Source organism: Homo sapiens, chromosome 22 (assembly GCF_000001405.40).
Source record: "Homo sapiens chromosome 22, GRCh38.p14 Primary Assembly".
NCBI lineage: Eukaryota > Metazoa > Chordata > Mammalia > Primates > Hominidae > Homo > Homo sapiens.
Window position 1 is genome coordinate 32,618,049 of NC_000022.11, and position 21,860 is coordinate 32,639,908.

At 47.1% G+C, this 21,860-nt stretch overlaps 1 protein-coding gene, 1 long non-coding RNA gene and 1 pseudogene across 19 annotated transcripts in view; 1 reads left to right on the forward strand and 2 right to left on the reverse strand.

Moving 5' to 3' along the window:
* The window catches only part of SYN3 (synapsin III), a 550,562-nt gene that overhangs the window by 110,229 nt on the left and 418,473 nt on the right, over nt 1–21,860 (reverse strand). The window lies entirely within an intron of this gene.
* LOC107985545 (uncharacterized) lies at nt 3,480–11,871 on the forward strand. The gene is made up of 3 exons (XR_001755504.2): nt 3,480–3,868; nt 5,905–7,867; nt 10,298–11,871. It is a non-coding gene; the product is annotated as an uncharacterized LOC107985545 (long non-coding RNA).
* RNA5SP497 (RNA, 5S ribosomal pseudogene 497) lies at nt 17,054–17,150 on the reverse strand (annotated as a pseudogene).

Sequence of the window (21,860 nt, forward strand, 5' to 3'; positions counted from 1 at the left end):
ATCTCAGTCCCTTCTTATCCCCGGAGCCTGGCATGACGCCTGGTAATAAACCACTGTTAAGTGAATACGGAAATGTATAGCACAGGGCTCTCCCTAACCACTAAATCTTTGATGATCGAACGGACAGATCCAGCACAGTGCCTGACACAGAGTCGTAGAGTAGCCCCTCAATAAATGTTCGGGAGCCAAACTGAGCTCGTGTGAAATTGTAGGAAACTGATGCCTGAGTGGGGCGAGGAGGGTTCAGGTCTCCCCTTAGGAAAAAGCAATTTCCTCCCAGCACGAGAGCTTCCAAAAAGGCAGTGGTTTCCAAGCTGAAAGTGGATGGGAACAAACAAACCGGGCACAAGGTTTGTCTATGAATGTGTCAGCCCTCGAAACTTATGTCTCCACATCTCTCTTGGCTCCTTGATGAGGTGCTTCCTCCATTTCAGATGGATGGTGTTTCTTTCCCCCTTCTAAAAAAAGCTTCTAGATGCTTTTAAATTAGGCAAATGAGCAAGGGCAATGTTCATTTTCCCCCCTTTCATTCTGAAAATGTGTGGCGTGCCAGAAGGCCTTTGGACGGAATGTTCAGAGGCTGCATAATAGAACAAGAGAGGCTGCCAAGCTCCTAAATCACTAACCAGACAATCTCAGGCCCTGGGACTTAGAGACCCCTGGGACAACATCATGAGCTGAGTCCGCAACAAGTGAAAAGATGGCCCACAGCCCAAGGTCTCAGCAGGAAAGGAAGCCCCTACCTTGAACAGCTGAAAGTTCAAAGTGGGCCACAGCTCCTTAAGCTCAGCTCTCTAGGAGTTGCCTGGTGATGGAGGACCTTGGGCCCCCTTCTGTAAAACCTCAGGGAGTAGATCCAATGCCAACACTTTCTTTGTGAAGCTCAGTTTACCCACTGGTAAAATGGGTCTAAGCTGAAGGACTGCAAAATAATAGAGAGGACTCTAAATGCAGGTGTTTCTACCTGTGACCTCCTCTCTATAGAATCTGTGAGGTCCAGAGCCTTAATATTGAGCATTTGGTTGCAGGGCCAGCAGCATCAGCATCACCTGGGCTCTTGTTAGAAATGCAGACTCTCAGGCCCCACCCCAGACCGGCTGCTCAGATTCTGCATTTTCACAGCATGCTTAGGTGATTCATGAACACGTTGAGGTCCGACAGCACTGGCCTACCTAACCATATGATCGTGGCTAAGTCGCTTTACCACTGGATTTTAATTTATTCATTTGTAAAATAAAAGTGATTAATTTAAATGGCACATAGACCTGAAATCCTATAAAGTTCATAGCCTGCTAATAAATACCAGCCTTTGATCCCAAAATGTACATAGGAGTTCCACCCCTGTTCTGAAATACCAGGTTTTGAATTGGGTCAGATAATCAACAGTGGAGGTCACTGGGTCAGACTGTGCTAGAGTGATGTGGAGGAATAAATGTGAACATTCATTCTGGAGGGTCTAGGACAAACCCATTTGAAATACTGTGTTACACTATGAGCCCTTAAATCTCAAATTTTGGTTTGGAAAATAGAGGCTCCCATAGCATCAGACACAGTCCCAACTCATGTTAGGTTGATTGCACTGATAGTATCAATTACTGACTTTCCTGTGTCCATGACCTTTACAACATGACTATGCAGTTCCTTCCACCAAGAGAAGGCATCTGTTTTCCCACCCTTTGAATCTGGGCTGGCCTTGAGACTTTCTTTGGCCAAGGCAGTGCAGCAGAAGTGTCCCAGTTCTGCCTAGGTCCCCAGAGACATTGCATGTTTCAGCTCTCTCTGGGACCCCGTAATCATTTTGTGAACTAGCCTGGGTTAGTTGGCTAGAAGATGAGAGAATACGTGGAAGAGTGCCTACTCATCTCAGATGAGAACAGCCAGGACTGGCTTACAGCCAGCTGACCTCCAAACACAGGAGAGAACCCAGCCAAGATCAGAGCTACCGACATGACCACAACTGACCACCAATGGATGAATAAGACCAGCTGAGACTAGAAGTGCCACTTAGCTGACTCATAGATTTGTGAGCAATAATACATTCTTATTATTTTAAGCCATTGAGTTTTTGGGTGGTTTGTTACACACCAATAGCTAACCGATACATAAACCTTAAAGATCTTAAATCTGGTTGGAAAAAATTTCAAACTTCTAAGATTGCCTCTAGCTTGAAAATGCCATGGTTCTTTACAAAAGAAAGGTTTAGAATATGGTGTCAAAAGTGAATGCCTTCAGGGGCTTTGAGTGAAGAGAGCCAGTGTACTCCAAAAACTTTTTTTTTAATACATATATGAATCACGAAAGGCATATTTCTCTACTTCCACAGGGAAATCTTGTGGCTTCCATTTTCCTTGAATCCTCTCAGTTTGCCTTTTGTTTCTTCACTTTTGGTATAGACAAGGTAAATAAGACATATTTTCTTTTCTCCTAACGATAAGGCCAACCAACCAGCAGCCTCAGTATGGGGGAACAACCTGGAGTGGTGGGGACTGGGGCAAAATAAGGAGCATATACCTGGTTTCAGTGGGTCAATGGTTGTCTTAAAAGAAAGAGGGCCCCAAATTGCCAGATCTTCTCAATTTTCAAGAGAACCCGGAAGCCTGCATTTTTGGATATGAACTTACCTAATTTTCAAACTTGAGTTCAAATTGTTTTAAGAAGCTTCACAACCCAAATCACTCTTTTTTTTTTTTAAACGGAATCTCACTCTGTTGCCCAGGATGGAGTGCAATGGCACTATCTCGGCTCACTGCAACCTCCGCCTCCCGGGTTCAAGGGATTCTTCTGCCTCAGCCTCCCGAGTAGCTGGGACTACAGGCACGCGCCACCAAGTCCAGCTAAGTTTTGTATTTTTAGTAGAGACAGGGTTTCACCATATTGGCCAGGCTGGTCTCGAACTCCTGACCTCATGATCCACCCACCTCGGTCTCCCAAAGTGTTGGGATTACAGGTGTGAGCCACCGCACCTGACCAACAAAACACTTTTGATGGCTGAAGTTGGTCAACAGCTAGAGACTCCTGGTGTGGACTGCTAATGCAGAAGGGTTCTGGAGCAAGAGCACATGACCATGTAAGACATTTACACCAGATCCCTCCATGCTCCCTTGGGCTCACCAGGAGAGCAGCTCCAGTCAGGGAAGTCTCCCTTTGCTGGGCCACTTGTGTTAAATGATGGTACTGCAGCTTTAGGAGGGTCAGGCAGGCTAGAACCACGCTGAGGGCCAGGTAAAGCTGGTCCTGGTAACTTTTGCCTTTTTTTTTTTTTTTTCCATTTTAGGGGCCTCGCTGACCTGTGACTTCATGATCTCATCACCCCAGTGACTTCAGGAATGAACCAGGAACGTATGCTCCAATTTTACCCCTTATTAGGCATTTTAGAGGGGATAATGATTCACTGAAAGACTGGGGCTCTAAAAGAAAAACCATCTCAGATGGAGGGTGGGCAGGACAGCTTGGATTTTGTGACTGCTGTTTACATGTGCTGTGTGGGTGCTGGTCTGCACAGGAGCCCTGGGCTTGGGGGTGAGAAAAGGCAGATCTTGCCAAGCAATGCACCTGGTGCTGGGAACTGCTTCTCGGCCTGAAGCGAGTGCTGCCTTTCCCAAATTTCCCTTACAGGGGGTGCCTTTTACCTACCTCACCCAAGGTCTCCCTATGTGCTAATCTCTATTTCAGAGAGAGGGAGAAAGACATTATGGAATCTCCTCTGTTAAGCGCTGCCTGCAGCATTTCGAAGTTAGGTAATATGGCCATTTCACAGAGGGGAAAACTGAGGCTCAGAGAAATTAAGAGACTCACTCACGTTCACCCAGCTAAGAAGTGGAAGAGCAGGCCTCCTGACTCAGATCTATGTGTCCATCCCAATGCCCAGGTGAGCCTTGCTGGGTCCCCAGAGGTGGGGCTGAGGATGGTGACAGATAGGTATAACTCCTGATATAACTCTTCTGCTTGACCTGGGCACCTCATTTCCTCCCCTACAGGAAGGGTGGAGTGAGCTCTGTAAGTACAGGCTAGGGGTGGGGAATCTGAACCCCACAAAAGGCCCTGTTTGCTTACAGTCCGCACAGCTGGGCTGGATTAGTCCAGCTTCGTAAATAGCTTTCGAAAACCAGCCGACTGGAAAAGTCCACTTTGTCCTGGAGAATGCACAAAGGCCCCACCCACATTCATCACTGTCCGCTGCCCTGTCTCCCCAACCCTGACCTCTCTATCTTGTGGCCCATCTCCACCTCCTCCTCTGGGCCTCAGTTGAAAAGAAAATTCTCAAATCCCCGTTCCCACCTCTATCAAACTCTTGAAAGACAGAACTGGAAGGAGAGGCAAGGAAAAGGAAATTCCTTTGAGGTCGAGCTGCCTGGATTTCCTTCTGCATCCTGCCTCATTTCCATGGAGCCTACCTTTATTGATTTGGGACCTGGGTCTTGAGGAAACTGGGGGCTGAATTTGGGGCCATTAGTGAAGCCCAGGGCTGCTTCCTTCCTGAGGGGCAGCTGAGGGGGAGGCCCAGCGCTGGCCTCAGAGGAGAGCAGCTGGAATGTGTTTTCTCACAGCCACACTTCGGTTAACATTCCAGAAAGTCAGAGCTGGGAGGGGCTTCCAGATTAGCAAGTCCAAAAGACTCTGACCCTGGGTTCCCTTGTTGAGCTGCAAAGGGGCTGTGGATCTCCAGAAATCGGATGCAAAAAAAAAAAAAAAAAAAAGTTTCTCTGTACTAGTGAGGAATTGGATTTTTGCAGGGAGAGGCTTCAAGCTTCGTTTTCTTAAAGGGGGCTGAGACACTCTTCCTACAAGTTAAGGACACAGGATGTTTCTAGTTTAGCTTGTGTTTTATGTAGAAGGGGAAACTGAAGCCCAGGGAGGGGACATGACATGCTCAGGGACAGAGATGTGACTGAGCTCATTTGAGAGCACAGCAGAAGTGTAGTTTAGGGGAGGGAGGGGCGAGGGAGACTTGTTCCTCCTGAACACATTTTCCGAAAGTGGGGCCTTTTCAACAGTGTCTACCACAACAGATTAGCCAAACAGCTATTTAAAAAAGGGATCAGACTTTAATGGAAGGAGCATGAAAGTGAGATTGTGAACCCCAGGGAGAGAAAGTTGTCACAGATTGTCAAAGGATAGTTTTTGCTTTTTTTTTTGTCATAGTTTTTTTTTCAATGGAGACAAGATCTCACTCTGTTGTTCAGGCTGGACAGCTGGGGCATGATCATTACTCACTTCAGTCTTAAACTCCTGGGCTCAAGTGATCCTCCTGCCTTGGTCTCCGTAGTAGGCCAAGGGACTACAGATGCATGCCATCACAGCTGGCTACTATTTTATGTTTTATTTTTTGTAGTGATGGGGTCTCATTATGTTGCTCAGGCTGGCCTTGAACCCCTGAGCTCAAGTGATCCTCCCATCTCGGCCTCCCAAAGCACTGGGATTACAGGTATGAGCCACTATGCCTGGCCAAGTTTTTGAAAATATGTATTGTGCACTTCCAGCAATCAATGGCGGTCTTCCCATAACCCCAACCTGCCTGCCCTGCCTGGCCTGCAGGCCTAGCTGGCAAACCTGGATATGCTCCTGGATCCCTGGAATCCAGACGTGCCACTTCCCACTCCATTCCTCTCCTTGCCATTCATTCAGCCAATATTTATTGATTTCTTTAACTCTGTATGAGATGTTGTGGATACAGTGGTGAACAAAACTCCATCTTCATAGGACTTATTCAAATTGAGGAAACTGATGGCATTTTTCTAATAATAAGAGGGGACTTGGGTCCAGGGTGGGGTGGCTGAACTCTGTCGGAAAAACGCTTCTCTGTGAGTGCCGAGGTGTCCCCTCCCACCATAAAAGAGGGTTCTGACGGGAATCGAGGACACCAATGCCCATTTGTTTCAGATTCGACATTCTCCATCTTGACAGGGTCCCCAAGGTTCTCCTGAGTCCAAGGACACCGCTGCCTCCCAGCTCATAACAAACGATGCTCACAAGCATGCCAGCCCTCTCCTTCTATGAGGCAATCCTCGGAGGCCCTTGCCAAGATCAACTGTTTGGACTTCTGCCTTGAAAACTGATCCTCTTCCGAGTCCGGTTATTGCTTTTCTGAAACATGGGGACAGTGACATCATCGCTCCCTCCCTGGCTTGGGGATTTGGTGGTCAGCATGAAGTCAGGGTTTGGAACGGTGCCTGTTCTCTGCCAATGCCCAGGGAGGCCTGGGTTGGGGGCTCTGGAGTGAATTGGGCTTGCTGGGGAAGTCCCCAGAGGCTGGGTGGGGGGTCACTTTCAAACCTGTTGCCAGCATCTGGGTCTGCCTTGCAGTCCCCAGGATGAGCAGCATTCTGAGGAGGGCTGAACTGATGGTCGGTGGATACACACCTGCCCGGTCATACCCATTGTCAGGCTATTGAAATACTTTCATCTCATTGGTAGTCATTTACCGGGAAGACTTCCTGCCACCTTAGCTGTACTGGCTTCTCCCCTGGGCCACCTCTCCATAACTCCTACCATCTAACACCTGTAGGGACCTGTCCAACAGTACTCTGATTGTTGGTGCCCTGCACCACACCCATGGATAAAGATTTCGGCGATGACTCCAGGATCGGAGTGGAGCTGTGAGAACTTGGGCTGGGCCTTTGGTCGCTGGGCACCTGCTGGAAGGCACTGCCATGTGGAAAGAGGCAAGGTCCACATCTAAAGTTCCCAGGTCTGGGCCCTGCCAACAGGAATTCTCTCCTGCCACGGTGGGACCCATTCCTTGCACAGTCACCGGTTAGCATTTCCTTGCCAGAGGCTGAAAGGCATCTCAGGGGTATTCTAGTCCTGCCCGCTAATTGTACAAGGAGACTCTGCAGCTCAGAAAGAGGATGTCACTTGCTCAAGTCAAATAAGCTGGTGACTGACCTAAGCCTTCTGCCTACCCTCTAGGTCATGATTCTCAAGGCACACAAAGATCCTGGCTTCAGAGACCATGAAGACATTCTAAACCTTCTCCTATCACTTGCCCGCTGCCTTTCTATGCCCAGGGTTGGTTTATTGGCATACCCAGCACTTTCTCTAGTTGGGTGGATTTTAGAATTAGCTTCAGCAGGGAGCCCGTCACAGTCATGTCACTCCATAACCTGGCATGCACCTAGGTAGGAACCTCAGTCTGGCAGCCCACAGGCTGAATGTGGACGGATTTCACTGGGACCACCCAGTGTTGTTGATTTTTCTTTCTAATGGAATAGATTGCCCACACTTAGAAAGTGAGGGATTTCATACAAAACTGTGGATATGGGGCTTTTTGGAACAATGGTTAGATCCAGCCATCCATGTGCCACGTTTCTGCAGGCAAGACCAGCTCCCTATAAATGGGACAGATGCTCTAGTTTGTCACCAACCACCCCTTTCTCCCAGCTGGCTTTGGTCCTTTGCTGGCCTGAAGGCACCCAAGTTTGCCATCCCCAGCCCAGAGTTATCTCAGTACATGACACGGCCTTGCTTTTTGTTTCTTGGAAAAGTTGTGGTCCAGACGGAATAAATAGACCACTTTAGCATCCTTCTTCTTTCTTCACACATTCAGGCCATTTTGGATAAGGGAGATGTTTGGGGTCTCAGGCTTATCACAGGGACAGTCATTGGTTGACCACCTGGCTGTGACTTCCAAGACTCCTTCCTTCTGCTCTTCCCACCTCTTCCCCTGACAGTGCCATGATCTCCAACCAGGCTACCCAACTCCTGACATTCCATGGCTGAGCTTTGGACTGAGTTGTGCAGATGCTTACTGAGCACCTGCAATGTTGACGCCATGTGAGGATTCAAGCAAGAGCAAGACACATTTTTGGATGCTTAGTCTTAAGGATCTAAGTCTTCTTGTGCACAACAGATAAAGATATCGATAACCGTAAGTCAAGGCCAAATATTCTGCATCACAGGAAAGGTTTCAAATCAGACAGAGCTCACGTCTACTGGGTGGGGAAGGAGGAATCAGGAAAGGCTTAAGGAAGGAGGAATCAGGAAAAGCTTAAGGAAGGAGGAGGTGTTTGAGATGGACCTTGAAATGACCGTGAAAGGAAATGGTTGGGGGTAGAGGGAGGAAAGGGTGTTCCCAGTAGGCAGAGGGAATGGCTTGAGAAGAGGCTGGGCTTGGGAGGAGACTGTGCTGAGGGTGCCTCTTGTGCAACACAGCTTGGCCAGCACTCACAGGCAGGACACACCACACATCTTTCCTGCCACCCTCCTCTGCACCCAGGGACACACACGCATCTCTCTGGGCAGGGGCACACTCAGAAGCTGAGACTTCTGTACACCTCCCAAACCTGACAACAATGTGTGCTGAGATGTTAGGGATGATGTGGGACCTAAGGTGGCAAAGATGGGCTGCGGTCATTTCTGGGAGGGCTCTGATCGTCCTGGTAGAAAGTGGGGTTAGAGTAAGGCAGGGAACCTGTTCAAGTGTAGACAAAGAGAGAAGAGTTCATTAGGAATTTACAGCTTTGAGTAAACAAGGACCGAGAGTAGGTTTTTCAGAGGGGAGGAAGGAAGGCGGGAAAGGAATGAGCACTTGGGCAGAGCTGAGAAAGATGGGGACTCTGTTGACCTGCCCCAACCGGGGAATGGTGGAGCAGGGAGAAGTGTGGGAGCACAGACTCATGAACTTGCCACAAAAGAATCACAGAATTTCTGATGTGGAAGAGGCTTTGGTGCTACCCAGTTTAACCCCCTTATGTTATGGAGGACACTGGGTGCCCCGAGTGTGGAGGTGCGGGCACCAATCCTAGGGTGACAAAGCTGTCGTTTTATCTTCCACAGCGTCTATCATGTAGTAGGTATTTGGTGAATGTGTGTTGAAACGATGAAAATGTTGACTTCTACCTAGAACTGACCTCGTAAAATGGAAAATGAGGTCCCTGGACACCTGGTTGGTTGGCAATAATTTCCATGTAAAGGTGTTGTCTCCCTGCACCCCCAGCTTTGGAGGAAGCCCCCAGATGATGCTCTTATGCCCCCACACAGAGTCTCAGTTCCCATGGAGGGCCTGCCACTGGCTGGGGCGTCGAGGGGTAGCGAGCTGTGCGGTTCCTCCTTCCCTCCCACCCACCCTCCCGGGGTCGTTGTGTAAGTGGGGGGTGGCAGTGCGGCGGGCGGGTAACTTCCTGCAACAGCGGCAGGGCTGGGCATCCGAGCTGGCACGGTTCAAGTGCACCACAGCATTCTGAACATTTGGGAACACAGGAAGGGCTGCGTTTTTTAAGCTCCCTTTGTTTTCAAGGAGGGGCCAGAGTCCATGGGGAGGAAAGAAACAAAACCAGGAAAACAGATGACTTGCTTTGCAAAGATAGTGTGTACGTATGCTGCAGCTTCTGTGAGCCCTAATGCTCTGCTGTCCCTCTACACTTATGCACACCTACACACCCTGACGCACACTCACGGCAGGTCACACCACACATCTGTACTTCCATCTTTCTCTGGCACCCAGGGATGCAGACACACATCTACCTGGGCAGGGACACACCCAGAAGCTGAGACTTTGATACACAGAGACACCTCCCAAACCTAACCACAGAGGGACATCCACACACATGGATGGGCAAGTGCAATCATACACACATGTAGGAGTATGAAGCTTTCATGCATAGACATCCAGACACCCAGACACACACAGAGACATGCTCGGAAACTCCAAGACCCCCATACTTATAGAAAGATCCAGACTGAACACACACACACACATATGCAGGCTTGTGTACACACCCATCCCTCCTTGAAGAAGCTCCACCTGTACAAACACAGAGGAGCATTTTTTTTGTTTGTTTTTGTTTTTGTTTTTGTTTTGAGACAGAGTCTCACTCTGTCGCCCAGGCTGGAGTGCAGTGGCACCATCTCGGCTCACTGCAAGCTCCGCCTCCCGGGTTCAAGTGATTCTCCGGCCTCAGCCTCCCGAGTAGCTGGGACTACAGGCACATGCCACCACGCCCAGCTAATTTTTTGTATTTTTAGTAGAGACGGGGTTTCACCGTGTTAGCTAGGATGGTCTCGATCTCCTGACCTCGTGATCCGCCCGCCAAATCCCAAAGTGTGGGGATTACAGGTGTGAGCCACCGCACCCGGCCAGAGGAATGTTTTTACCAGGGGTCCAGGGAGCCTGCACACCCTCAGCCCTGCTCTCGGCTACCAGAAGAGTGTGGGCAGGCAAGATACAGTTCCAAAAGGCTCCACAGAGAGGGGCCAATGAGTCCTTTTGCTTTTCCCCTTGCTCTTGATGTTAGTGTTTCTAGAAGCTTCCATGTAGTGCCCTCATTTAATTTACAAGTTTGAATTCTTCTTTCACAAGGTATATTGAAGACCATTACTGGAAGTGAGGGGAGATGAGGAGGAAGAGGCCCTGGAAGGACATCTGGGACTGGTGGGAACAGCAGCTGGATTACCTGCTCCTGCCTGGGGATTTCTCTACATTCCCAAGCTGGTGCTGACAAAGTGCAGCCCCAAAGAGGCTGGGCCAGAGAGATTGGAAGAAGAGCTCTCAGGGGACTCCCACAATTCCTCTGACAATAAAATGAGACAGAGAGGTTAAAAGTCATTTAAATTTGGCCGGGCGTGGTGGCTCATGCCTATAATCCCAGCTACTCCGGAGGCTGAGGCAGGAGAACTGCTTGAACCTAGGAGGCAGAGGTTGCAGTGAGCTGAGATCATGCCATCGCACTCCAGCCTGGGGCACAAGAGCGAGACTTCGTCTAAAAAAAAAAAAAACCTCACTCAAATCTTTAGTTACAAGCTGGAAGATGCCGGGCTGTTCCCCCTGTAAGCTGTGCTGGCCGCTGGTCATGCTTCCTGTGGTGTGCTTTCAATTTCCCTCGTTGTAACTGAAAAGTGGGGGCCTTTTCTCTGAAGGAAGAGGCTGTGGTCTCCCAGGTGCCCTGTTGGGCTCTTTAGGGAGGGACTTAGACCCAGGAGGGCTCCTAGACCTGGGCAGGTAGAATTGCTCCGCCTGATAGAAAGAGAACCTGGAGCTCTCCAGGCAAGCTGGGCAGGTTTATGAGCTCGGAGCCTGAGAGGTGAAAGGTGAAGCTCCTCCCCTTCTGCTCTGACCCTGTCGTGTGTGCTCCCCAAATATTTGGTGAAATCCATCCCACTCAGAAATCGCTTTGGATTTGAGCGTGGGATCTGGGTCAGTGATAGCAACAGAGCAGCCCTCGAGGTAGGAACAGAGGCTTCCCCATCCTCTAGGAATTTGCATAAATATACTAGGAGATTGTGAAATGAATGAAAGTCCAAGAAAATCACATCTAGATCTGTGAGGCAAGGAGAGAGGCCCAGATGCCATCTGGGTAACATATGGGAAAGTGTTTGCAAACTTTAACCACTACGTAATGCAAAGAATCATTTGCTATCCTTGTTATATACAAAAATCTTCATCAAAATGTTTGCATTGAGCAGTTGAACCTAATGATGAAAGAGGCTTGCAAGAGCAGGCTGGCCGGGTCAGCCCTGGGACAGCCAGCCCAGGCTTTCTCAGGCAGGCGGCACGGTGTGGACGAGAGGTTGGTGGGCAGGGATTGGCTTCCTGGGTCCAAACACCTCCTTTTTCTCTTACTATCTTTCTTGTCTTTCACAGGTTTATTTAAACGCTTTATAAACTTTTTTCTTTGTATTTTGCCAGAGCCATCCCCTGGGAGCCTCTTTGCAATCTTCCTTCTCGTCCAGCTCCCAGTATAAGTCACCTCCTTCAAAGCTCTTTGAATCCTGATGGTGCCCTTGACTGGGAGAGGCCACATAGTGGGGTGGTTAAGAGCATGTACCCTGGAGGGGAACAGAGCTGGATGATCAGGGCCAGGACTAGGGTAAGGAGGGTGAGACCTGAAAATTAAATAAAAATGAAAATGAAATGAGATGAAAATTAAATAAAAATCTGAGAAGGTGCCTGCAAACTCATAAATCAAAATAAATATTTTAATGTTATTTTATATAGGTATGTATTTTTTTTTTTTTTTGAGACGGAGTCTCGCTCTGTTGCCAGGCTAGAGTACGGTGGCGCGATCTCGGCTCACTGCAACCTCGGCCTCCTGGGTTCAAGCAATTCTCCTGCCTCAGCCTCCCAAGTAGCTGGGACTACCGGCGCCCACCACCATGCCCAGCTAATTTTTGTATTTTTAGTAGAGACGGGGTTTCACCATGTTGGCCAAGATGATCTCCATCTCTTGACCTCATGATCTGCCCCCCTCGGCCTCCCAGAGTGCTGGGATTACAGGCCTAAGCCACCACACCCGGCCGTATGTATGTATTTTTAGAGATGGGGTCTTGCCATGTTACCCAGGTTGGGTTAAAGTGATCCTCCTGCCTCAGCCTTCCAAATAGCTGAGGCTACACGTATGTCCCACTGTTCCTGGCCTTATTATTGTGATATTTAAGTAAATGAATATCAATGTAAATAAATTCATGATGAGCAAAATACTAATATTTTAATGAAGATAGGATCCAACCCTACATTTGCATAACCCTGTCTCACTTGCCTGCCCTGATCTGGTCCTTTCTGAATTTGTATCTCGGCTCTGCCTCTTATTAGCTGGGGCACACTTTTAAAAAACTGATGTGCACGTTACAAACAGTAAAATGAATACTTTTAAAGAGTACAGATCAATAAATGTTTATATACGTGCACAGCTATGTGACCAACACTTAATCAAGACATAGGCCATTTCCATCTCTGCGGCAAGTTTCCCCTTAGGACTTCCTCTTGCTTAAAATGCTTCAGTGGGTGTTCACTGCTGTCAAGATAAACATCAAATCCTTTTGTCCTGGCCCCTTCACAGGCTACAGGTGTGTTCCCTACTGTTCTATGAGAAGCCAAATACAGGTGTTTGACCTGAAAACACCAGTATATCTAGCACATCCCACTGCTGAGCCTCTCAAAGCTGACCTTGGCTCTGAATTTAACAGCAACTCGGATTCCAACCCTAATGCTAACCTCAGCCAGAGGGATGTTTAAAAATACCTGCAGAGGGCCGGGTGTGGTGGCTCACGCCTGTAATCCCAGCAATTTGGGAGGCCGAGGCGGGCGGATCACCTGAGGTCAGGAGTTCCGAGACCAGCTTGGACAACATGGAGAAACCCTGTCTCTACTAAAAATACAAAAATTAACTGGGCGTGGTGGCATGCGCCTGTAATCCCAGCTACTCGGGAGGCTGAGGCAGAAGAATTGCTTGAACCTGGGAGGCAGAGGTTGCAGTGAGCCAAGATCATGCCACTGCACTCCAGCCTGGGTGACAAGAGCGAAACTCCATCTCAAAACGAAACAAGCAAAAAAAAAAAAAAAACCCAGAAAAACCTGCAGAGGCCAGATGATGTTTGAGATGTTGGGTTTTTGTGCGTATTTTCAAACGCTTGTCTCTTTAGGCTCTTAAATCATTGAGCACATCCTCTGTATGGCTCTGCTTAAGGCTGAAGTCTGCAAATCCTAAAGTTCCTTCAGGGACAAGAAGGAAAGAAAAATAAATTCACCTGGAGTCAAGTAATTTCACAGATCTTTAAAGCAGGAAGGACCTTAGGAAACCACCTGATACAACTCTGGGCTTTTGAAAATGAGCAACCTTAGAATTGCTGTGTCTTTCCTAAGGTTGCAGTAGTATAATAATTACACCTTTTATTGAGAAACTACTATGTGCCAGGCATCAAAGTGCTTTACATTCAATATCTCATTTAATCCTCCCACCATCCTATGAGGTAGGTACTGTTAAGATTTTCCGCTTTACAGATGAAGACATTGAGGTCCAGAGAGGGTGAGTAACTTGCCCAAAGTAATACAGCAACAAGCGGTGATGTATTATTTGAACCCAGCATGATCAGACTCCAGCACCTCCACTCTAAAGCCTGCATTGCCCAAGCCAGAGCCCTTTTATGTCACCAAAGGCAGGGAACAAATAGTCTATGAGGTGAGGAATTTGCCTTTGGCTCTTAGATTGACTTCCTATAAAAACAAGACAGAGAGTGAAGAGCCAGGATCTGTGGGTTTACTAGGCGCCGGAGGGATGCTGAAGGGGAAGATAGTGGCTGCCCTAGACAGATAAAGGTCTTGTGGCAATTCCTGGACTGGGGGCCTCATTGCTCAATGCAGGGGTATTGGCAGTATGTGAGTGGGCCTGCGCCCATATCACCAGGCAGGGTGTGGAGCCCTGGGTGTTCCAGCATACACTGCCAGGAGGGGTTGGTGAATCTCCCAGGACATTGCAGGCAGCAGCTTAATGTTAGGAAAAGAGACTTGAACTGGCAACCTGGACCTGGGCTTCTGCTGTCCACTGGGCAGTGTGCTATGGCGGTGAGAGCTCTTGCCTGGGCGTTTAGAATCCCAGCTCTGATATTTACTTGTATGGGATCTTGGGCAAATTACTTCCTCTTCAGGGTCTCAGTGGCTGATCCACAAACAAGACATGTTTGTGAGTGGTGCAGTGTTTGATAAATCCTAAACTAATGGGAAGTAGCCCTTGACCTTGGCCGAGACACCTTCCCTTTGGGGCCTTCGATCTTTCATCTGTGAACTAATGGGAGATGGGCCAGAGAATCTCCAAAGTTCCTTCCTGCCCTAAGGTTTGATGACTGAGAATCTGCAGCTTGGTGCTTAAAGGTTTGGGGCAGGAAGCTAGGGGCAGAGCAAAGGCCCTGTAGGCATTCAACAGCTGTTTGGCAATCATCCTCCTTAGCCTTTCCCTTCCTATTTACTTCTCAGCCTGGCTCAAGGTTTGATTGTATTACTGGTAGAAGAATTAACCCCAAACCCAGGGAAATCGCCACTTCACTGTGTTTTCTTACTGTCATTTTCTATTAACGTGACGCATACAGGGTTTGCAAGACCCGGGGACCGCCGTGGATGTCTTTGGCTTCTAATTCCATTAGTTCATCGGGTAGTTATGGATAATAACACAAAGCCTGTCATTTGGCCAGCACTTGAGAATTTATATAGTGGTCAAGCGTGTTCATTCCGAAGCCACAACCCATGGGTTCTCACCCGGCTCCTTCACATACAGGCTCATGACGTTAGGCAAATTACTTCTCCACTCTGAACCTTGGTTTCCTCATTTACCAAATGGGAGGAATAACCGCACATTGCCTCATAGGGCTGCTGTAAAGATGAAGGGATTTGACGTCATGTACGGCACTTAGCACCAGACTCATAGTCATAACTAAATCATCAGTTATTATTTTTACGAAATACTTCATATTCATTTTCTGACTTGTCACACCCATCACCTCCATCAGACTGCTTTGATTTTATTATCCTGATTTTTGAGCGGAGCAAACAGACTCCGAGGAACAGTGACTTGTCCCGGGTCACACAGTTAAGTGGCAGAGCCCCTGGGGTTCTAACCTGGGGTTCCTGAAACCTAGGATAGGCCATGTTCCACTGTCTCCCCCTGCCCTTCCCCCAGGACCAAATTTCTCTGTGGAATAATAAGGTAATATTGGATGAAGTACCCCCAAAACAAGGTTGGTCCTACGTGCGTAGGCATTAAGAAAAGAGGGGAATCCTAGTTGTTGGGAAGGCCTTTGGGCCTCAGGTGGTACGCCGAGGACAGCAGATTTTGACCTCCGAGGCAGAGGGAGCAAGGAAAGGAAAAATAATCTTTTTTTAAATTTTGAGACAGAGTCTTGCTTTGTCACCTAGGCTGGAGTGCAGTGATGTGATCACAGCTCCCTGCAGCCTCGACCTCCCAGGTCCAAGCAAGCCTCCTACCTCAGCCTCCCAAAGTAGCTGGGACCACAGGTGCGTTTTTCTCAATCTCATTTTTTTTTTCTTTTTTTTGTAGAGAAGGATTTTTGCCATGTTGCCCAGGCTGGTCTTGAACTCCTGGGCTCAAGCAATCCATCTACCTCGGCCTCCCAAAGTGCTAGGATTACAGGTGTGAGCCACCCAACCTGGCACAAAAAAAGGCATCCTAGGAGGGAGCTGGCACCGGCAAAGACTTGGTTTTAGAAATGGACAGCCTACTTAGAGGACCATCAAGGGACTGCCACTGGGACAGAGGGCTCTTGGAGGGAAGTTGTAAGAGATAAAAATGGAAGCAATACTTGCTAACATTTACTGAATGCTTACAAGGTACTGCTCTGATCACTTTATATGTATACGTAATAACTTACTAAAGTCTCATAACTGTTTTTCCAGGTAGGAACCAATATTATCCCTGTTGTATAGATAAGGAAACTGGAGGCACAGAGAGGTTTAAGTAACTCATCTGTGGCTACAAAGCTGATAAACAGCCGAGCCACTATTCAAACTCAGCAGGCAGTCTGGCACCAGAATCTATGTTCCGAACCACTAGACGATAGCATCTGACTCAATAGAAGCATGATCACCCAAATCAGTTCAGGATTCTTGGCATCTTCTGCTACTTGCTGTGGCACTGAATTCAAATATATGTTCCTGTATTCACAGAGGCAACGTAGAGATAGTGCATATGGGAATGAGGGGTTGACGGCATCCGTGAAAAGGATTCTCAGTTAAGATCTAAAATGCATATCTGACCAGGGCACTCTAACTCAAAATCACTAGACAGCTCGGCACCACCTCCAGAAATACAAGTGTCTGTGGTTCCCTCCCTGCGAGGGGTTTCATGGCTTCCTTGTTTTTTGTTCACGCTGTTCCCCTTTTGTCCTCTTCCTCATCTAACTATTACTTCTCTTTCAGGACTGCCCTCCAGCATCACCTCTGCCCCAGGAATCCCTTCTTGGTTTCCCCAGGCTGGCTTCCAGGCCCTTTCAGTGCTCCGGAATCCCTTGGCCACCTCTGCCTTCCCACCCTGGGCAGAAATTATGTCTACTGCAAGCTTGTCCAACTTGTGGCCCGCCGGCCATGTGTGGCCCAGGACAGCTTTGAATGTGGCCCAACACAAATCTGTAAACTGTCTTAAAACATTATGAGATTTTTTTTGCAACTTTTTTTTTTTTAGCTCATCAGCTATCATTAGTGTTAGTTTATTTTATGTGTGGCCCTAGACAATTCTTCTTCTTCTAATGTAGCCCAGGGAAGCCAAAAGATTAGACACCCCGGTCTACTGGGAGAACCCTCATGATGTTCTCAACTCTGTGCTTGTTGTATATCGGTCTACATCTCCCATCCAAATACTAACCAGGCCCGACCCTGCTTAGTTTCCAAGATCAGACAAGAGCGGTGTGTTAAGGGTGGTATGTCTGTAGGCTAATCTTTCTATCTATCTGTCTGTCTATCTATCTGTCTGTCTGTCTATCCATCCATCCATCTATCTAGTCTATCAGTCATCTATCTTCTATTTTCTATATGTATCTATCTTCTCTCTTCTTTATTTTCCATCTTCAGAATCTGGGGCTGTATTCGGCCTGTATTTGGGAAGCTCAGTAGATGTTGGTTGAACTAGGTGGATGAGCATTCCCAGTGACTATGATACAGGGAAATATTTACTCACAGCTGATGCTGAGTTAACCCACTACCTTCACTTATTTCAACCCAAATCAGAACATATCTGCAAACATTGGGGCCAGATATTTGAAATAGGGACATTCTAGGATATTAGAGCAAATATTTCACAGATGCTTTCAAGGTCCCTGGTGCAATGCTGGGTTTCTGTGGATGGTGAATTTCCTGGCATCTGGCTTAGTACTCGTTGTAGTGCAGGTGCTCAGCCGGTATGTGCTGGATGAATGACAGAGCCATGTTATACAGAAAACGCAGTTTGACGGTTGCTCTCTGGGACTCTGTTCTCCAAATCAGATGGAGGAGACAACTAAGTAGACTCCCAAATAAGCCATGCAAATTTCCCGAATCTCCCAAACTAAACCCAAACGTTATTTTTGTTTTAACTGAGTTAACTTTTTTCTTTAAAAAGACTTAAGAAAGAATGATAAAAGAAAGAGAAAAAATCCTCCTGATCCCTCCTTTGCTTGAAATCATTAGGCAGCTGCTCATTGGAACAAAACAAGATTTTTTGAACTTGAAACTCTACATACGTATTTTTTCCCTTAAGGTATCGATGTAGAAGGAATCTGACATTTTTGAATGTTGTCCCCAAAGAAATGAACCATATTTGTCATTCTGAGGAGCCTGCTAAGAACCCTGACAAGGACTGTTAGAAAATCAGAACCACGGCCGGGCGTGGTGGCTCATGCCTGTAATCCCAGCACTTTGGGAGGCCAAGGCAGGCGGATCACAAGGTCAGGAGATTGAGACCATCCTGGCTAACACAGTGAAACCCCGTCTCTACTAACAACACAAAAAAATCAGCCGGGCGTGGTGGCCAGTGCCTGTAGTCCCAGCTACTCTGGAAGCCGAGGCAGGAGAATGGCGTGAACCCGGGAGGCGGAGCTTGCAGTGAGCCGAGATTGTGCCACTGCACTCCAGCCGGGACGACAAAGCGAGACTCCATCTCAAAAAAAAAAAAAAAAAGAAAAGAAAAGAAAATCAAAACCATTTTGCTGGAACTGCTGTTCCCACCTTCACCAGTCATTGGTAAAAGAGAAGATCCACCTTAAAAGTGGCTGTCCCCATGACGGGCCATTGCTAGATGGACTTGACACCTTGACCTCTCGCCATCTGCAATCAGTGAGGCTCAGTAATGGTGACCTTGATCCTGGGGGGATAATCATGGCTGAACACTCAGTATAGTTGGAACTGGGCAGAAAACTTGGCCTAGGATCTAGACACTCTGAATTATTTCATTTTTCTTTGCCTTGGATATCTGAGAGCCCCAGAAAGAGAAACAGGCTCTCTAAAGCAGTGTCAGGAGATTTGGACACAGGCTCAGTCCTGACATTCATTTGCTATATGATCCTGCAATAGTCGCTCAACTCTTCTGGGTTTCAGCTCCTCTATCTATAAAATGAGATGGTCAGATTAGACAGGTGGCTTTCAGTTTTTTCTTTTAAAGCAATTAACCTCTTTTTGAAAAAATAAAATTATAGCCAGTGTCCCAGTATATAGAACAGATAAAAGTAAGGCCACTCCACCCTGTCCCGCCTCCACCATAAACTTGACTCATCCTGCAGAGGTGGAGGTGCACAGTCTGAGAACCACTGAACTAGAAATGACAGCAACAACAACAAAAATGAATCTTTACTGAATGCTCTTCTGTTCTACACAGGGAGTCCCTGCAGGGAGGAAGACGGTTGTGCCTGCAATTCTAAATCTTACCAGAGGCAAAGTGAAGTGTTGTAATAGAGAACCAATGTCTGGAGCCAGACTGCTTGGTTTCCATCCTGACACTCCTGCTTGCTAGCTGTGTGAGGCTGAGCAAGTTTTCTAACATCTCTGTGCCTCAGTTTCCTTAACTTCAAAACGAGGATGATGACGGTCCCACCATCATAGGGATGTTGTGAGGATGGAACAGAGTTATTATATCTAATGTGTTTAAAGTCTGCCGAATACACAGTCTGCGTGGTGGATATGTCAGGTATTATCATTAATTTCCACCTTCTCCCTGGGTTTTTGGTTTTGTTGTTTGCTTTTCTTTTTCAACTTGTCTTTTAGATTCAAGGGGCACATGTGCAGCTTTGTTACCTGGGCGTATTGCATGATGCTGGGATGTTGGGATATGAATGATCCTGTCACTCAGGTACTGAGCATAGTACCCAACAGTTAGGTTTTCTTTTTTTCTTTTTCTTTTTTTTTTTTTTTTTTTTTTTTTGAGACAGGGTCTCATTCTGTCGCCCAGACTGGAGTGCAGTGGCACGATGCCAGCTCACTGCAACTTCTGCTTCCAAGGCTTAAGCGACTCTCCTGCCTCAGCCTCTTGAGTAGCTGGGATTACAGGCATGTGCCACCATGCCCAGCTAATTTCTGTATTTTTAGTAGAGATGGGGGTTTCACCATGTTGGCGAGGCTGGTCTCGAACTCCCAACCTCAAATGATCCACCCGCCTTGGCCTCCCAAAGTGCTAGGATTACAGGCATGAGCCACCGCGCCCAGCAACAGTTAGCTTTTCAACCCTTGTTTCCCTTCCTTCCCTCTTCCCTTTAGTAGTTCAGTGACTATTGTTGTCATCTTTATGTCCGTGAGTACTTCATGTTAGGTCCCATTCATAAGTGAGAACATGCATTGTTTGGTTTACTGTTCTGCATTAACTTCCTTGGGATAAAAGCCTCCAGCTGCATCTATGTTGCTGCATAGGACATGATTTTGTTCTTTTTAATGGCTGCATAGTATTCCATGGTGTGTGCGAACCACATTTCCTTTATCCAGGTCACTCTTGGTGGGTGTCTATGTGATTCCATAACTTTGTTACTGTGAATAGTGCTGCAATGAACACGTGAGTGCATGCGTCTTTTTGGTAGAATGATTTGTTTCCTTTTGGATATATATCCAGTAATGGCTGGGTTGAATGGTAGTTCTGTTTTAAGTTCTTTGAGAAATTTTCAAACTACTTTCCAGAGTGGCTGAATTAATTTACATTCCCACAGACAGTGTATAAACATTCCCTTTTCTCTGCAGCCTCACCAACATCTGTTGTTTTTTGACTTTTTGATAACAGCCATTCTGACCGATGTGAGATGGTATCTCATGGCGGTTTTGATTTGCATTTCTCTGATGATTAGTGATGATGAGCAGTTTTTCATATGTTTGTTGGCCTCTTGTATGTCTTCTTTTGAGAAGCATCTGTTAATGTCTTTTGACAATTTTTTTAAATGGGGCTATCGGTTTTTTGGTTGTTCAATTGTTTAAATTCTGTATAGATTCCACATATTAGACCTTTGTCAGATGCATAGTTTGTGAATATTTTCTCCCATTCTGTAAGTTGTCTGTTTACTCTGCTGATTGTTTATTTAGCTGTGCAGAAGTTCTTTAGTTTAATTAGGTCCCACTTGTCAATTTTTGTTTTTGTTGCAATTGCTTTTTAGGACTTACTCATAAACTCTTTCCCAAGGCCTGTGTTTAGAATGGTGTTTCCTAGGTTTTCTTCTAGGATCATATAGTTTGAGGTCTTACATTGAAATCTTTTTTTTTGAGACAGAGTCTCACTCTGTGGCCCAGGCTGGAGTGCAGTGGCGCGATCTCAGCTCACTGCAAGCTCCGTCTCCTGGGTTCATGCCATTCTCCTGCCTCAGCCTCCCAAGTAGCTGGGACTACAGGCGCCCGCCACCACCCCGGCTAATTTTTTTGTATTTTTAGTAGAGACGGGGTTTCACCGTGTTAGCCAGAATGGTCTCGATCTCCTGACCTCCTGATCCACCCGCCTCGGCCTCCCAAAGTGCTGGGATTACAGGCATGAGCCACCACGCCTGGCCCATTTTGGTTAATTTTTTTACATGGTGAAAGGTAGGAGTCCAGTTTCATTCTTCTGTATATGACTAGCCAGCTATCCCAGTATCATTTAGTGAATAAGGGAGTCCTTTCCCCATTGCTTATTTTTGGCAACTTTGTCAAAGATTAGATGGCTGTAGGTGTGCAGCTTTATTCCTGAGTTCTCTATTCTGTTCCATTGGTCTATGTGTCTGTTTTGTACCAGTACCATACTGTTTTGGTTACGGTAGCCTCTTTTGCTTCTTTCATGTTTGTGAATTAAGTTCCTTTTCTTTTTTTGAGACACGTTCTTACTCTGTTGCCCAGGATGGAATGTAGTAGTGTGATCATGGCTCAGTGGTGCTATCATAGCTCACTGCAGCCTCGATCTCCTGGCTCAAGTGATATACCATCTCAGTCTCCCTAGTAGCTGGGACTATAGGTGCCACCACAGCTGGCTAACTTTTAAATATTTGTTTTGTAAAGGCAGGGTCTTGCTGTGTTTCCCAGGCTGGTCTCAAACTCCTGGCCTCAAGGAATCCTCCCACCTTGGCCTCCCAAAGTGCCTGGATTACAGGTGTGAGCCACCATGTCCCTTTTCCTTGGATGAGTGCTGTTGTCAGAATCTGTGGTTTAGCACTGAATTGGATGACACTTTGTG